General features: G+C 42.8%; 1 protein-coding gene across 8 annotated transcripts in view; it reads right to left on the reverse strand.

Moving 5' to 3' along the window:
* Positions 1 to 16971, reverse strand: part of ZNF562 (zinc finger protein 562) — a 33294-nt gene that overhangs the window by 14089 nt on the left and 2234 nt on the right. For 3 of the 8 annotated variants that reach the window (NM_001130031.2, NM_001300885.2, XM_017026898.3), the window contains exons 2-5: positions 4825 to 4979; positions 3484 to 3572; positions 2114 to 2240; positions 652 to 758 (exon numbers count right to left, since the gene is read on the reverse strand). In NM_001130031.2, coding sequence (NP_001123503.1) covers positions 652 to 758; positions 2114 to 2240; positions 3484 to 3572; positions 4825 to 4849 — 348 coding nt within the window. In that variant the 5' untranslated portion in view covers positions 4850 to 4979. Of the gene's footprint in view, positions 1 to 651; positions 759 to 2113; positions 2241 to 3483; positions 3573 to 4824; positions 4980 to 8536; positions 9070 to 16971 lie in introns of those variants that run through there. The other 5 variants (NM_017656.4, XM_047438996.1, XM_047438994.1 and 2 more) reach the window with 4 other exon arrangements.

A 16971-nucleotide genomic window follows, 5' to 3' on the forward strand; every position in this document is an offset into this window, starting at 1 on the left:
CTAATTTTGTATTTTTAGTAGAGACAGAGTTTTCACCATGTTGGCCAGGCCTGTCTCAAACTCCTGACCTCAAGTGATCCACCTATCTTTGCCTCCTAAAGTGTTGGGATTACAGGCATGAGCCACCACATCCAGCCTCTTTTTAAAATCAGAGATGGTATATTGCTATACTGCCTAGGCTGGTCTTGAACTCCTGGGCTCAAATGATGATCCCACCTCAGCCTCCTAAGTAGCTGGGATTACAGATGTAAACCACACCACTAACTGGGCTGATTTTTTAGAATGGAATTCTCAATCTTTTCTGAGAGAGGAAATTAAGAAATATCCCTCATGGCCTGACACAGTGGCTCACGCCTGTAATCCCAGCACTTTGGGAGGTCGAGGCAGATGGATCACGAGGTCAGGAGATCAAGACCATCCTGGCTAACATAGTGAAACCCTGTCTCTACTATAAATACAATAAATTAGCTGGGCATGGTGGTGGGTGCCTGTAGTCCTAGCTACTCGGGAGGCTGAGGCAAGAGAATCGCTTGAACCTGGGAGTTGGAGGTTGCGGTGAGCTGAGATGGTGCCACTGCACTTCAGCCTGGCAGAGCAAGACTCCGTCTCAAAAAACAGAAGAAAAAAATAAGTATCCCTCATGAATCTTACCATTTGTATCCCAGTGAATATTTGATTCTTCAAAAAACCCTGCTGAAGTGATGACCGTTTGGTTCTAGGTTGTATTTCCCATTCTGAAGTTAAGCAGAAAAAGAAATCTAAGGGTTTAGAGAAGAAATGTGTTAGTTTAAAATTAGTCATTTGTCCTTGTTTTCAAATTAAACACAGTATGAAAATAAAAGCCACAGGCCAGGCACGGTGACTCAGGCCCGTAATCCCAGGACTTTGGGAGGCTGAGGTGGGTGGATCACGAGGTCAGGAGATCAAGACCATCCTGACCAAAATGGTGAAACCCTCTCTCTAGTAAAATACAAAAATATATATATATATATATATTAGCCGGGCGCGTTGGCATGTGCCTGTAGTCCCAGCTACTCAGGAGGCTGAGGCAGGGGAATCACTTGAACCCCAGAGGCGGTGGTTGCAGTGAGCTGAAATCACACCACTGCACTCCAGCCTGGGTGACAGAACGAGACTCCATCTCAAAAAAAAAAAAGAAAAAAGAAAACAAGAGAACCTTGAGGATTTTGGTATGTCAAAAATTTGGCTATAAGGATGTGGGGTTTATTACACAACTGATGTGTTTAGATAGTTTATAACAAACTGCTTCTGTGAAAATTACAACTGATGGGGAACAGGAAGAGAAAATTATCAGGAAAGGAAAGCAGGAAAGATCAGGATAAAGAGCATATATCAAAATGATAAACTTAACAAAAAAACAGAACAGCTTCGGGAAGCTGAGGCAGGAGAATGGCAAGAACCCGGGAGGCAGAGCTTGCAGTGAGCAGAGATCCTGCCACTGCACCCCAGCCTGGGTGACAGAGTGAGACTCCCTCAAAAAAAAAAAAACCAAAAAAAACCAAAAGCAAAACAAACAAACAAAAAAAACAGAACTGGTAGTTTTGTTTGACTAGATGGAAAGTAAAAGTCAGAGATATCTGAAATTCTGAGAAAAACAGCTTAAATCTTCTCAGGCAAAGTGGATCTTTAAAAATCTTTTTTTTTTTTTTGAGTCAAAGTCCCACTCTGTCACCAGGCTGGAGTGCAGTGGCACAATCTCGGCTCACTGCAACCCCTGCCTCCTGGGTTCAAGCGATTCTACTGCCTCAGCCTCCCGAGTAACTGGGACTACAGGCATGTGCCACCATGCCTGGCTAATTTTTTTGCATTTTTAGTAGAGACAGGGTTTCACCATGTTAGCCAGGCTGGTCTTGATTTCCTGACCTTGTGATCTGCCTGCCTCAGCCTTCCAAAGTGCTGGGATTACAGGCGTGAACCTCCGGGACCGGCCTAGTCTTTATTCTTAGGATTTTTTTTTAGAGATGAGGTTTCACAATGTTGCCCATGCTAGTATCAAACTCCCAGGCTCCAGCGATTCTCCCACCTCAGCCTCCCAAGTATCTGGGACTACAGGTGCAGGCCACCATGCCAAGCAAAGTGATGTTACTCTTACCCACAGAGGCCAGGTTCATGTAGTTCTCCAGCATCACATCTCTGTAGAGGTATTTCTGAGTTGTGTCCAGTAAAGCCCACTCCTCTGGGGTGAACTCCACAGCCACATCATCAAACGTCACTGAATCCTAAGTCATCAAACACATGCTGGTTTGAGCCAATGAACACTTCCACCAATATTCACTGGAGAATGAGGAAAGGGGAACCTTATACTCACTTATACGTGGTTCTCAAGTCTCCCATGATCTACTCCAGGGTTTAATGTCTCAGGAGCTCTTGTGTCTAAACAATCAAGGTTGACCTCCTACAGGCATATGCCTTAAACAGCACTTTTTTTCTTTCTTTCTTTCTTTTTTTTTGTGACAGAGTTTTGCTCTTTTTGCCCAGGCTGGAGTGCAATGGCACGATCTCGGCTCACTGCAACCTCCACCTCCTAAGTTCAAGTGATTCTCATGCCTCAGCCTCCCAAGTAGATGGGATTACAGGCATGCAACATCACGCCTGGATAATTTTTGTATTTTTAGTAGAAAAGGGGTTTCACCATGTTGGCCAGGAAGGTCTCAAACTTCTGACCTCATGTGATCGGCCCACCTCAGCCTCCCAAGGTGCTGGGATTATAGGTGTGAGACACCATGCCCATCTGAACAGTACTTTTTAAAAAAATTTTTAAATCTTTTTTGTCTGATCTATTTATTTTTAATTTTTTAATTTTTTTTAATTTTAATTTTTGATTAGAACAGTACTTCCTAAACATTAATTTTTATCTATCTAGCATCTATCTATCTATCTATCCAATCTTTTTATTTATTTATATATAAAGACAGGGTCCCACTGTGCCACCCAGGCACAATCGCTGCTTACTGCAGCTTCAATCTCCTGGGCTGAAGTGCTCCTCCCACCCCAGCCTCCTGAGTAGCTGGAATTACAGGCATGAGCCACTGCACACTGCTTACATTATCTCAGCACAAACAGGCTAGGAGCTCTTCCTGTCCCATTGGTCTCTGGGCAGCACACTCCTCAGCACACTGCAGATACCTGATAAATGCTGATGAGTGAATTAATTATTTGATAAAAGGACACTTTCATCTGCTTTATCATCTGTCACCGCACCCAGCAATGTAAGAAAGATGCAGTTGGCACCATGAAGGTCAAGCTTAAGTAGTAATTACCGAGCTACTGGAATGATCTTCAAGTTAACACTTTATGTATAGGAGACTTCATTCCCTGGGGAAATTCACCTGGGGATTCAGTCCTTGAGTAAGGCTTCATTTGCTCTAAGAAAACTCTGGAGATGAGTCTGTCTAGAAGGAAATGTGTCTACCTATTGGATGTAAGTATGTCATTTTGTACAACGGTACATTTTCTGTTTACCTGGTAAGAATTTGACCGGTGGTCCTCTACCATCGTTCCTATCTTTGTCTTTTCTTCAAAAGGACAGATTGGTTCCCTGGGAAAAAACCCTAGTGGAAAAGTAAGAAGGCATGAGAAGCCAGAGCTGCCCACATTCTTATGCCCAGAAGTCATTCCATCCTAGCTTGAAATTCCCATATGCTCCTGCACACTCGAAAAAACTACACACACACAACACTTCCATGAAATGCCGTAGTAGTCCTGTATCACCTAGACCCAGAAAAGCAGATATGGGCTGAGCTGCCTGTTGTGTAAAGGGTAACAGTTTCATTTTTCAAGGAAACTTACACCCTGAAAAATGTGACTATCTGCCCATAGTAGTAACACTCATGAAGCTTATGTAGCATTTCCAAAGGCACACAAACCAGGGCTGAATTCTAAAACAGCATTCTGACTGGGCACAGAGGCTCATGCCTGTAATCCCAACATTTTGGGAGGCCAAGGTGGGCAAATCACTCGAGGTCAGGCATTCAAGACCAGCCTGGCCAACATGGCAAAACCCCGTCTCTACTAAAAAAAAAAAAAAAAAAAAAAAAAAAAAAAAAAAAAAAAAAAAAAAAACTACAGGAGGCTGAGGCAGAGAACTGCTTGAACCTGGGAAGTGGAGGTTGCAATGAGTCAAGATCATGCAACTGCACTTCAGCCTGGGTGACAGAGTGAGACTCCATCTCAAAAAAAAAAAAAAAAAAAAAAAAATTAGCTGAACCTGGTGATGCATGCTTGTGATCCCAGCTACTTAAGAAGCTAAGGCAAGAGAATTGCTTGAACCCAGCAGGCGGAGGTTTCAGTGAGCCAAGGTTACACCACTGCACTCCAGCCTGGGTGACAGAGCAAGATTCGGTCTCAAAAAATAAATAAATAAAAATATGAATAAAATAAAAGAGCATTCTGCGTCTTACTTGAATTCCTCCTTAAAGAACTAGCAGCAGCCAGGCACGGTGGCTCATGCCTGTAATTCCAACACTTTGGGAGGCCGAGGCAGGCAAATCACCTGAGGTCGGGAGTTCAAGACCGGCCTGACCAACATGGAGAAACCCGTCTCCACTAAAAATACAAAATTAGCCTGTGGTCCCAGTGACTCGGGTGGGTGAGGCAGGAGAATTGTTTGAACCCAGGAGGTGGAGGTTGCGGTGAGCTAAGATCATGCCATTGCACTTCAGCCTGGGCAACAAGAGCAAAACTCCATCTAAAAGAAAAAAAAAAAAAGCAGCATGCCTGTTCAGGCCCAGCTCACTGGACTCTTATGTTGTGGAGGGCGACCTAAAGCAGAATCTCTGAAAAAGAGCATCAACAAGGACTTACCATGGGACATATCAAAGGCTGACATCCTCTGAAGCTGATGGTGAGATGTGCCTCAATGCTGTCTTTCTTGATGCCAAGATCGCCTCAGGGCAGCTTATGAATCTAGGTGGATACAGGCAATCTCCATTCCCCTTTGTACAGGGTTATCTGAGGCCCTGTTCATACCAATCACCAAACAACAAGCATCAAACATCAGTCATTGAACATTATGCATGAGCTTTCTCTCTGCAGGTGACAGATGTGAAGGCCACCAAAAACTGTATACTCAGTATCGTCACTCAGTAATGATAGTATTAATAACAGCAACTGACATTTATTGAGGACTAGTATGTCAGAAGTAGCTCTAGTAGCTTTATATATACATGCTCACTTAATTATCATAACCATCCTTCCCAACAGCTATCATTACCTATATGTATCTATGTATCTATCCATCTATCTATTTATTGAGACAGGGTCTCATTCTGTTGCCCAGGTTTAAGTACAATGACACAACAACAGCTCTCTGTAGCCTACATTTCCCGGGCTCAAGTGATCCTCCCACCTCAGCTTCCTGAATAGCTGGGACCACAGGTGTGCATCGTCAAGCCTTATTATTATATTATTATTATTATTTTGAGACAGAGTCTCACTCTGTTGCCCAGGCTGAAATGCAGTGGCGTGATCTTGACTCACTGCAACCTCTGCCTCCCAGGTTCAAGTGATTATCAGGCCTCAGCCTCCCGAGTAGCTGGGATTACAGGTATGCACCACCATGCCTGGCTAATTTTTATATTTTTAGTAAGGATGGGGTTGGTCAGGCACGGTGGCTCATGCCTGTAATCCCAACACTTTGGGAGGCCAAGGCAGGTGGATCACGAGGTCAGGAGTTCCAGACCAGCCTGGCCAACATAGTGAAACCCTGTCTCTACTAAAAATAGAAAAAATTAGCTGGGTGTGGTGGTGGGCACCTGGAATCCCAGCTACTCAGGATGCTGAGGAAGGAGAATCGCTTGACCCCGGGAGGTGGAGGTTGCAGTGAGCTGAGACTGTGCCATCGCACTCCAGCCCAGGTGACAGTGCGAGACTCCATCTCAAACAACAACAACAAAAAAGAAATGTGTAAGGAAGGGGTTTCATCATATTGGCCAGGCTGGTCTCAAACAAGTGATTCTCCCACTTCAGCCCCCAAAGTGGCTGGGACTACAGGTGCACACCACTGGATCTAATTTTTTGCATTTTTAGTAGAAACAAGGTTTCACCAGGTTGCCCAGGCTGGTCTCAAACTCCTGGGCTCAAACAATCCTCCCACCTTGGCCTCCCAAAGTGCTGGGATAATAAGCATGAGCCACCATGCCTGGCCTATTACCTCTATTAATACTGAAAAAAACCTACATTCAAATAATCCTAGTAATTGGTCTGATATTTGACCCTAGAGCCTGATCCCCTGTATATGCTGTTACCCCCCAGTATGACCAGAAGACAGCCCAGACTTGCACAGAACAACTCAGTAGTCACTAGCCACGTGTGTTATTGATAACTTCATTGTGTACCTAAGATGATGAAAAACAGAATTTAAAATATTCAAAAGATGGCCAGGCGCGGTGGCTCACACTTGTAATCTCAGTACTTTGGGAGGCTGAGGCAGGCAGATCACCTGAGGTCAGGAGTTCAAGACCAGCCTGGCCATCATGGCAAAACCCTGTCTCTACTAAAAATACAAAAATTAGCTGGGCGTGGTGGCACACGACTACTCAGAAGGCTGAGGCAGGAGAATTGCTTGATCCCGGGAGGCAGAGGTTGCAGTGAGCCGAGATCATGCCACTGCACTCCAGACTGGGTGACAGAGCGAGACTCCATCTCAAAAAAAAAAAAAGAGAGAAAGAAAATATAGACAACAGGCCAGGCACAGTGGCTCACGCCTGTAATCCCAGCACTTTGGGAGTACCAAGGTAGGCAGACCACAAGGTCAGGAGATCGAGACCATCCTGGCTAACACAATGAAACCCCGTCTCTACTAAAATACAAAAAATTAGCCAGTTGTGGTGTTGGGCGGCTGTAGTCCCAGCTACTTGGGAGGCTGAGGCAGGACAATGGCGTGAACTTGAGGTCAGGAGTTCAAGATCAGCCTAGCCCATATGGTGAAACCTCATCTCTACTAAAAATACAAACCTTAGCCACTCATGGATGCTGTAGTCCAACCTACTCAGGAGGCTAAGGCAGGAGAATCACTCGAACCCGGGAGGTGCCCACCTCAGCCTCCCAAGGTGCTGGGATTACAGATGTGAGCCACTGCGCCTGGCCAGCTATTGTTCTAAATGTTGTTCTTTACTGAAAAGAATGAACACAACAGTTGCCACTTGGTACACAACTAATGTAGATAATGGCCTTATCTCTATGCCAATTTGAAAAAACAGCCAGAACTGGATGGGTGCAGTGGCTCACACCTGTAATCCCAGCACTTTGGGAGGCCGAGGCGGGTGGGTCACGAGGTCAGGAGATCGAGACCATCCGGCTAATGCAGTGAAACCTCGTCTCTACTAAAAATACAAAAAAAAAAAAAATTGCCAGGCATGGTGGCAGGCGCCTGTAGTCCCAGATACTCAGGAGGCTGAGGCAGGAGAATGGCATGAACCCAGGAGGTGGAGCTTGCAGTAAGTGAGATTGCGCCACTGCACTCCAGCCTGGGTGACAGAGCGAGACTCCATCTCAAAAAAAAAAAAAAAAGGAAAAAGAAAAGAAACAGCCAGAATCACTCCACACCATTGCCTCCAGACTGCATAAATTTTCCTTCCTGTTCACTTCCAAAATATAGTCTTCAAGGGTCCTGACATTCCAAAAATCATCACACTGGTTGACTGTGTAGATGGGTTTTTTTTTGTTTTGTTTTTGTTTTTTGAGACGGAGTCTTGCTCTTATCGCCCAGGCTAGACTGCAGTAGCACGATTGCCACCACTGTAGCTATTGTTCTTTTTTTTCTTTTTCTTTTTTTTTCTGAGACAGAGTCTCATTCTGTCGCCCAGGCTGGAGTGCAGTGGCGCGATCTCGGCTCACTGCAGCCGCCGCCTCCCAGGTTCAAGCGATTTTCCTGCCTCAGCCTCTCAAGTAGCTGGGACTACAGGACTCCAGAGTAGCTGGGACTCCCTAGTTCAAGTGATTCTCCTGCCACAGCCTCCCAAATAGCTGGGATTACAGGTGCATGCCACCATTCCCAGCTATTTTTTTTTTGTATTTTTAGTAGAGATGGGGTTTCACAATGACAGCCAGGCTGGTCTTGAACTCCTGACCTCAGGTGATCTGCCTGCCTTGGCCTCCCAAAGTGCTGAGATTACAGGTGTGAGCCACCACACCTGGTCTGTGAATTTGTTTTGTTTTGTTTTGTTTTTTAAGACAGAGTTTCACTCTTGTTGTCCAGCCAGGAGTGCAATGGCACAATCTAGGCTCACTGCAACCTCCGCCTCTTTGGTTTAAGCTATTCTCCTGCCTCAGCCTCCCAAGTAGCTGCGATTACAGGCATACATCACCACACCTGGCTAATTTTTGTGTTTTTAGTAGAGACTGTGTTTCTCCACGTTGGTCTGGATGGTCTGGAACTCCTGACCACGAGTGGTCCACCCGCCCCAGCCTCCAAAAGTGCTGGAATTATAGTTCACTTGTTTTAACGTTCCTTAAAGTTTAATTTTCCCCAAGGAGGGGCTGCACATTTTGGGTTGGATTTGTTATCAGTACTTACAAAAACTATTATGTTATGGTTAAGTTGTTCCACCACTGGCCAGTGGACTGTCTTCAAGATGGCTCCTTTCCTTTTGACAAGACCCTAACAGTCACTGATTGTTTTCACACAGGGCATGTGTTCCAACATTATCTTGTACATTTCTTGCACGGTTTGGCTTATGGATGTAATCATATATGTGATCTGAGGACTTTTGGGTTTCTGCCGTTTTTGAAAAGTTTCTCAGGGCTGGATGCAGTAGCTCACACCTATAATCCCAGCACTTTGGGAGGCTGATGCAGGTGGATCACCTGAGGGCAGAAGTTCGAGACCAGCTGGGCATGGTGGCTCATGCCTGTAATCCCAGCACTCTGGGAGGCCAAGGCGGGTGGATCATGAGGTACAGCCTGGGCGACAGAGTGAGACTCTGTCTCAAAAAGAAAAGAAAAGAAAAGAAAATATCTCAAATACCACCGTTTATATAACACATTTCTATATATGCACACATGTGCTTTAAAAAACAGCTCTAGGCCAGGTGTAGTGGCTCATGCCTGTAATGCCAGCACTTTGGGAGGCCAAGGCAGGTGGCTCACCTGAGGTCAGGAGTTTGAGACCAGCCTGGCCAACATGGTGAAACCCTGTCTCTACTGAAAATACAAACATTAGCTGGGCATGGTGGCACACGCCTGAAGTCCCAGCTACTCAGGATACTGAGGTTGGAGAATTGCTTGAACCTGGGAGGCGGAGGTTGCAGTGAGCCAAGATCGTGCCACTGCACTCCAGCCTGGGGACAGAGCAAGACTCTGTCTAAAAAAAAAAAAAAAAAGCAGTTTCTGTGGCTACAACGAAGTGAAAAAAACTCCAAGGAGATGGTAAGAGAATCAAATTTCCATATCCACAACACCCTTCTCCTTAATCCAGCACCAAGAATGTGGAAAATTTCTACCAATTCAGTTTCTACACTGGAAAAAACTGAGCTCAAGGTGGACAACCACCTTCTCCACCATCCTGGGTTCCCTGGTAAAAGATCAGTCCCTCCCTGTCTCAACCCACAGGAAGCATCACAAGAGCCTGAAGGGAGAAATACCCTGAGGACATCCAGGGACAAAGAGGGGAGGCAGGACTACCATCCCCAGCCCTGGGAGCAGCATACTGTAGGGGTATGCTACACAGGTCCCCTGGGCAGAACACACAGCCAGCCTTCCCACATTGCTGGAATATGCCCTTTAGGACTCCCCAATTCTGGATGGGCAGTATTCTTGACTGTTTGCTAGAGCAGAGGCAAACATGGGTTTAAGATTCCATCTAGTGCTGAAAAGGAGGCGGTGACCTAGGGAAATTTTAAAGAAAGGAAATCATTTTGGGAGGCCGACACAGGTGGATGGCTTGAGCTCAGGAGTTCAAGACCTGCCTGGGAAACATGATGAAAACCCATCTCTACTAAAAAGTACAAAAAGTAGCCAGGTGTGATGGCGTGCACCTCACCTACTTAGGAGACTGAGGTGGGAGGATTGCTTCAGCATGGGAGGTAGAGGATGCAGTAAGCCATAATCACACCACTGCACTCCAGGCTAGGTGACAGAGAGAGACCTAGTCTTTAAAAAAAAAAAAAAAAATCAAAAGAATTTAAGAGGCTGGTTGCTATGGCTCATGCCTGTAATCCCAACACTTTGGGAGGCCGAGGTGGGTGGATCTTCTGAGGTCAGGAGTTCAAGACCAGCCTGACCAACATAGAGAAACACTGTCTCTACTAAAAATACAAAATTAGCTAGACATGGTGGTGCATGCCTGTAATCCCACTACTCGGGAGGCTGAAGCAGGAGAATCGCTTGAATCCGGGAAGCAGAGGTTGTGGTGAGCCGAGATCGCACTATTGCACTCCAGCCTGGGCAACAAGAACAAACCTCCGTCTCAAAAAAAAAAAAAAAAAAATTACACAATGGAACTTTGTTTTGGTTTTGGTATGTTGACAAACCAAAATCTATGGGATAAAAGCAGTACTAAGGGAGAATTTTACAGCAGTAAACACATACATCAAAAAAGTAGAAAAATTTAAAATAAACCTAATGATACCCCTTAAAATACTAGAAAAGCAAAAACAAACCAGATTCAAAATTAGTAGAACAAAAGAATAAAGACCAGAGCCAAAATAAAATTGAAAATAAAAAACAATACAGAAGATCAATAAAACATAAAGTTGATTACTTGAAAAGATAAACAAAATTAACCTTCGGCTAGACTAAGGGAAAAAAATGACCCAAATAAAATAAAAAATGAAAAAGAAAACAGAACAGAAACCACAGAAATACAACCAATCATTAGAAACTATTATGAAAAACTATATCCCAACAAACTGAAAAGCCTGGAAGAAATAGACAAATTCTTGGGTGCATACAACCTACCAAGACTGAACCATGAAGAAATAGAAAACCTCAACACAACAATAACAAGATCAAAGTGATAACAAAATGAATCCCATCAAAGAAAAGCCCAGGACCTGATAACTTCACTGCTGAATCCTACCAAAAACTTAAAGAACTAATACCAATACTACTTGAACTCCTCAAACAAAATTGAAGAGGAGAGAATATTTCCAAACTTAGTCTACAAGGTGAGCATTATTCTCATATCAAAAACCAGACAAGAGCACAACAACAACAACAAAACTACACGCCAATATCACTGATGAACATACCTGCAAAAATTCTCACCAAAATATTAGCAAACCAAATTCAACACATTAAGAAAATCATTCATCACAATCAAGTGAAATTCATCGTAGAAATACAAGGATGGTTCAACATATGCAAATCAATAAATGTGACGTACCAAATTAACAGAACCAAGAATAAAAACCGTATGAGATTTCCACAGATGCTGAAACACCATTTGATAAAATTCAATATCCCTTTTTGACAAAAGTCCCCAACAAACTGTGTATAGAACGAATATACCTCAAAATAATAAAGGCCATATATGACACACCCACGTCCAACATCATACTGAACAGGGAAAAATTGAAAGTCTTTCCTCTGAGATCTTGAACAGAACAAGGATGTCCACTTTTACCACTTCTATTCAACATAATACTATAAGTTCTGGCCAGAGCAATTAGGCAAGAGAAACAAATAAAGGGCATCTCAACTAAAAAAGAAGTCAAATTAGCCATGTTTGCCAATGACATGACCTTTTTCTCCTTAGAAACAGGGTCTCCCTCTGTTGCTCAGGCTAGAATGCAGTGGTGATCATAGCTCACTGCAGCCTTGGTCTCCTGGGCTCAAGTGATACTCCTGCCTCAGCCTCCCGAGTAGCTAGAACCACAGGCATGTGTGACAATGCTAACTTTTTTTTTTTTTAGAGACTGGGGGCAGAGGGGTCCTCAATATATTACCCAGGCTGACCTTGAACTCCTGATTTCAAGTGATCCTCTTGCTTTGGCCTCCTAAAGTGCTGGGATTACAGGCATGAGCCACCATGCTCAGCTGACATAATCATATTTAGAAAAACCTAAAGACTCTACCAAAAACCTGTTAGAACTGATAAATGAATTCAGTAAATGTTCAGGACACAAAATCAACATACAAAAATCAGTTGCATTTATATACGCCAACGGTGAACAATCTGAAAAAGAAATCAAGGAAGTAATCACATTTACAATAGCTGCAAAGACTATAAAATGCCAGCACCAGGCATGATGACTCACAATTGTAATCCCAGAATTTTGGGAGGCTGAGGTGGAAGGATTGCTTAAGCCCAACAGTTCAAGACCAGCCTGGGCAACATGGCACGGCTCAGTCTCAATTAAAAAAAAGAAATTAGCCAGGCATGATGGCACACACCTGTAGTCCCAGCTACTCAAAAGAGACTGAGGCAGGAGGATTCCTTGAGCCCAGGAGTTCAAGGCTGCTGCATGAGCTACAACTGCACCACTGTACTCCAGCCTGGGCAACAAAGTGAGACCCCACCTCTGAAAAAAAGAGAAAATAAAAAGTAACCAAAAATGTGAAGGAGCTATACAAGGAAAACTATAAAACACTGATGAAACAAACTGTAGAGAATACAGAAAAAAAATGGAAAGACATTCCATGCTCATGGATTAGAAGAATATTGTTAAAATGACAATACTACCCAAAGCAATTTACAATTAAGAGCAACCGTTATCAAAATAGCAATGACATTCATCGCAAAAATAGAAAAAAAATCCTAAAATTTATATGCAACAATAAAAGACTTCAAACAGCCAAAGAAATACTGAACAAAAAGAACAAAGCTGGAATCATCACACTGCCTTACTTCAAAATATACTACAAAGCTATCATAACCAAATCAGCATGGTACTGACATAAAAAAAACAAACAAACACATAGATCAATGGAAGAGAACAAAGAACCTAAATACAAATCTACACATGTACAGACAGCTCATTTTCAACAAAGGCACCAAAAGCATACAATGGGAAAATAACAGTCTTTTCAATAAATGCTGCTGGGAAAACTGGATAACCATATGCAGAATAAAACTAGATGCCATCTCTCAGCATAAAAAAAAAAAGTCAAAACAGATTAAAGACTTACATCTAACACCTGAAACTATAAAACTAGTAGAGGAAGACCCTTGGGAAACAATCCAGGGCATTGGTCTGGGTAAAGATTTCTTGGGAAGATCTCAAAAGCACAGGCAACAAGAGCAAAAACAAACATATGAGATTACATCAAGCTAAAAAGCTTCTCCACAGCAAAAGAAACAATCAACAAAGTGAAGAAACAATCTACAGTATGGGAGAAAATATTTACAAACTATCCACCTGGGATTAATAATCAGAATATATAAGGAACTCAAACTTGATAACAAAAAAAATCCGATAAAAAAATCAGCAAAAGGTCAGAATAGATGTTTCTCAAAAAAAAGACATACAAATGGCCAACAGGCATACAAAAAAATGCTCAACATCACTAATCATCAGAGAAATACAAATCACACATAACCACAATGAGATATCATCTCACCTCATTTAGAGTGGCTTTTATAAAAAAGACAGGGAATAACAAATGCTGATGAGGATATGGTGAAAAGATAATCCTTGTATGCAGTTGGTGGGAATATAAATTAGTACAGCCACTGTAGAGAACAATATTCAGGTGTGGTGGCTCAGGCCTTTAATCCCAAAACTTGAGGCTGCGGTGGGAGATCACTTGAGCCCAGGAGTTCCAGACCAGGCTAGGCAACACAGCAACACCTGTCTGTACACACATGCACGCACAAAACCTGTCTGAAACTGGCAAGACCTGTCTGCATGCACGCGCGCGAGCGCGCGCGCGCGCGCGCACACACACACACACACACACACACACACACACACACACACAACCAGTCAGGGACAGTAGCTCATGCCTGTAATCCCAGCTCTTTAGGAGGCCAAGGCAGGCAGATCATTTGAGGTCAGGAGTTTGAGACCAGCCTGGTCAACATGGTGAAACTCTGTCTCTACTGAAAATACAAAAATTAGCTGGGCATGGTGGCGTGCACCTGTAGTCCCAGCTACTCCAGAGGCTGAGGTAAGAGAATTGCTTGAACCCAGGAGGCGGACGTTGCAGTGAACCAAGATCGTGCCACTGCACCCCAGCCTGAGTGACAGAGTGAGACTCTGTCTCAAAAAATCAAAGAAACAAACAAAAAAACTTAGCCAGGTGTATTAGTGGAGGCCTGTAGTCCTGGCTACTCAGGAAGCTGAGGTGGGAGGATCACCTGAGCCCAGGAAGTCAAGGCTGCAGTGAGCCATGATTATGCCATGGCACTCTAGCCTGGGTGACACAGCAAGACTATCTCAAAAAAAACAAAACAAAACAAAAAAAACAGTATGGGGGTTTCTCAAAAAATTAAAAATAGAACTACCATATGATCTGGAATCCCATTGGGTATATATCCAAAAGAAAGGAAATCAATATATTTGAAAAGATATATATACATTCCCTTGTTTACCGCAGCACTACTCATAATAGCCAAAATATGGAATCAACCTAAGTGTCTAACAATGAAAGAATGAATAAAGAAAATATGGTATATATAGACAGCAGATTATTATTCAGCCATAAAGAGAATGGAATTCTGTCATTTGCAGCAACTGGATAGAACTGGAGGTCATCATGGAAGTGAAATAAGCCAAGCACAGCAGACAAATACCCCATATTCTCACATGTGGGAGCTAAAAAGTGGATCTCATGAGCATAGAGTACAGATTGATGGTTACTAGAGGCCAGAAGGGTAGGAAGGAGACGGAGATAAAGAGAGGTTGATTAGGCTGAGTGAGGTGGCTCATGCCTGTAATCCCAGCACTTTAGGAGGCCAAGGCGGGCAGATCACCCTGATTATGTGAGATCAGGAGTTCGAGACCAACCTGTCCAATATGGTAAAACCCCGTCTCTACTAAAACTACAAAAATTAGCCGGGTGTGGTGGTGCACCCCTTAATCCTAGCTACTCGGGAGGCTGAGGCAGGAGAATCACTTGAATCCGGGAGGAGGCAGAGGTTGCAGTGAGCCAAGATCATGCCACTGCATTCTAGCCTGGGTGACGGTGAGACTCCATCTCCCAAAAAAAAAAAAAAAAGAGGTTGATTCATCGGTAAAATATACAGTTAGAAGAAATAAGAACTGGTATTCAATAGATCAGTAGGGTGACTACACTTAATACGCATCTATCATACATTTCAACACAGCTAAGAGAATAACGATGTTCCTACAATATAGAAAAGATAAATATTTAAGGTGACAGGTATGCTACTTACCCTGATTATGTGAATGTATCAAATTATCACATGTACTCTGAAAATATGTTCATCTATTATGAATCAAAAAAATTTTTCTGGATTGTAAAATAGGGAGTGGGAGATTCTGGGGCCACCATGTCTGTGGGTAAAGATATTCCCTTGTCTGGATCATGTAAAGACATCCCTCCAAGATGTCACTCCAAGTTACTGCACCTAATACCACCTACCATTAACAAGGAGCAATGAGCCATGATTATGCCATTGCTCTCCAGCCTGGGTGATCCAGCAAGACTTTGTCTCAAAAAAAGAAAAAAAACCCAGCATGGAGGTTTCTCAAAAACTACCATCCATAGACCTCTTGAATTTTGGAGGCAACACATACATTTGCATGTACTTTAACGCCCCACACAGTTACCTGTAAGGATTCTAGTTTCAACTGTAGACAAGAGCAATTTCAGGCTGCAATGCAAGCTTCCTAAGCACTTGGTCCACCTGATCCAGCAGACCCAGTGATACTCAACGTGTCCATGTTAAATGGCATGTTATTTATTGGAAGCCTCCGGCATGCACCAACAGAAGATGTAGAGTACAGCCCTCTGGTATTGCAGAGTCAATCCATGCCCTCTTGTGCAGATTAACTGTTTTTCTCTTGAGAAACAGGTTGTGGTTTGCCACTAGCACATGACAGAGAATGAACAACTAGTCATGGGACATGAAGTAACTAAGGCTGAACTGAGTAATTTGAGACTTTCTGGTCCCCAAAGCATGAAGTACATACTGTCACCCATTATCAAACAACTGTTGTCAGCCTCTCCTCTGGACCCAATTCCAAGTTTGTAGGAAATCGCATGAAATAAAGGAATATTTACACACACCATGAGAATCCAATCAGAAATATCTGATTGTATGACTTTCTAAGAGAATGAGTGTGACTCTCTGAAAGTCAATATAATGGACAGTAATAACTGTTATAGGCAAAAAGACACTGAAGACACTGACAATTGCAATGCAAAAATCTTGAATGGATCTTAGATCCAAAAACACCCAAGAGCATACGTTGAATCAATGAGGAGAATTTTAGTTATTACGGAAAGTAGACATTAGATGACATTATTATTTTTAATTTAAGTGAAATACTAGTATTGTGGTTTTAGTATGACAATGCCTATTTTTAGGAGGTGCATTACAAAGTATTTAAAGGTCAAGCATCACATGTACAATTTATGCTCAATTTACACTCAAATTGTTCACTGTAAGATTTACATGAGGAGAAAGAAATAAAATGCTAAAAAATTAAGTAAATCTACTAGACTGGGTGTGTTAGATGTTCAAGTTTTCCTTAGGATCAAATTTTTCAGAAAAAAATGTAAAAACTACACTTAGTCCAAACATGCTCTTAATAAATTATACAGATACTAGATATTTTATTACACTGATACTAGAATACTATTCTGATTATAATAGTAAATAATTCTAGTGTCAGTGTAATAAAGCCTCCATTCTTTCTTCCTGGTTCCTGGAGGCCTCTGTTTTGAAGCACTGTGGGGAAGTACAGACCTAAGAACTTCAGATGAAGAGAATAGTTGAGTATTATTGCCTTTCTTTTTTTTTTTTTTTTTTTTTTAGACAGTTTCGCTCTTGTCACCCAGGCTGGAGGGCAGTGGCGGGATCTCGGCTCAATGCAACCTCCG

The sequence above is a fragment of the Homo sapiens genome, chromosome 19 (assembly GCF_000001405.40).
Source record: "Homo sapiens chromosome 19, GRCh38.p14 Primary Assembly".
Taxonomy (NCBI): Eukaryota; Metazoa; Chordata; class Mammalia; order Primates; family Hominidae; genus Homo; species Homo sapiens.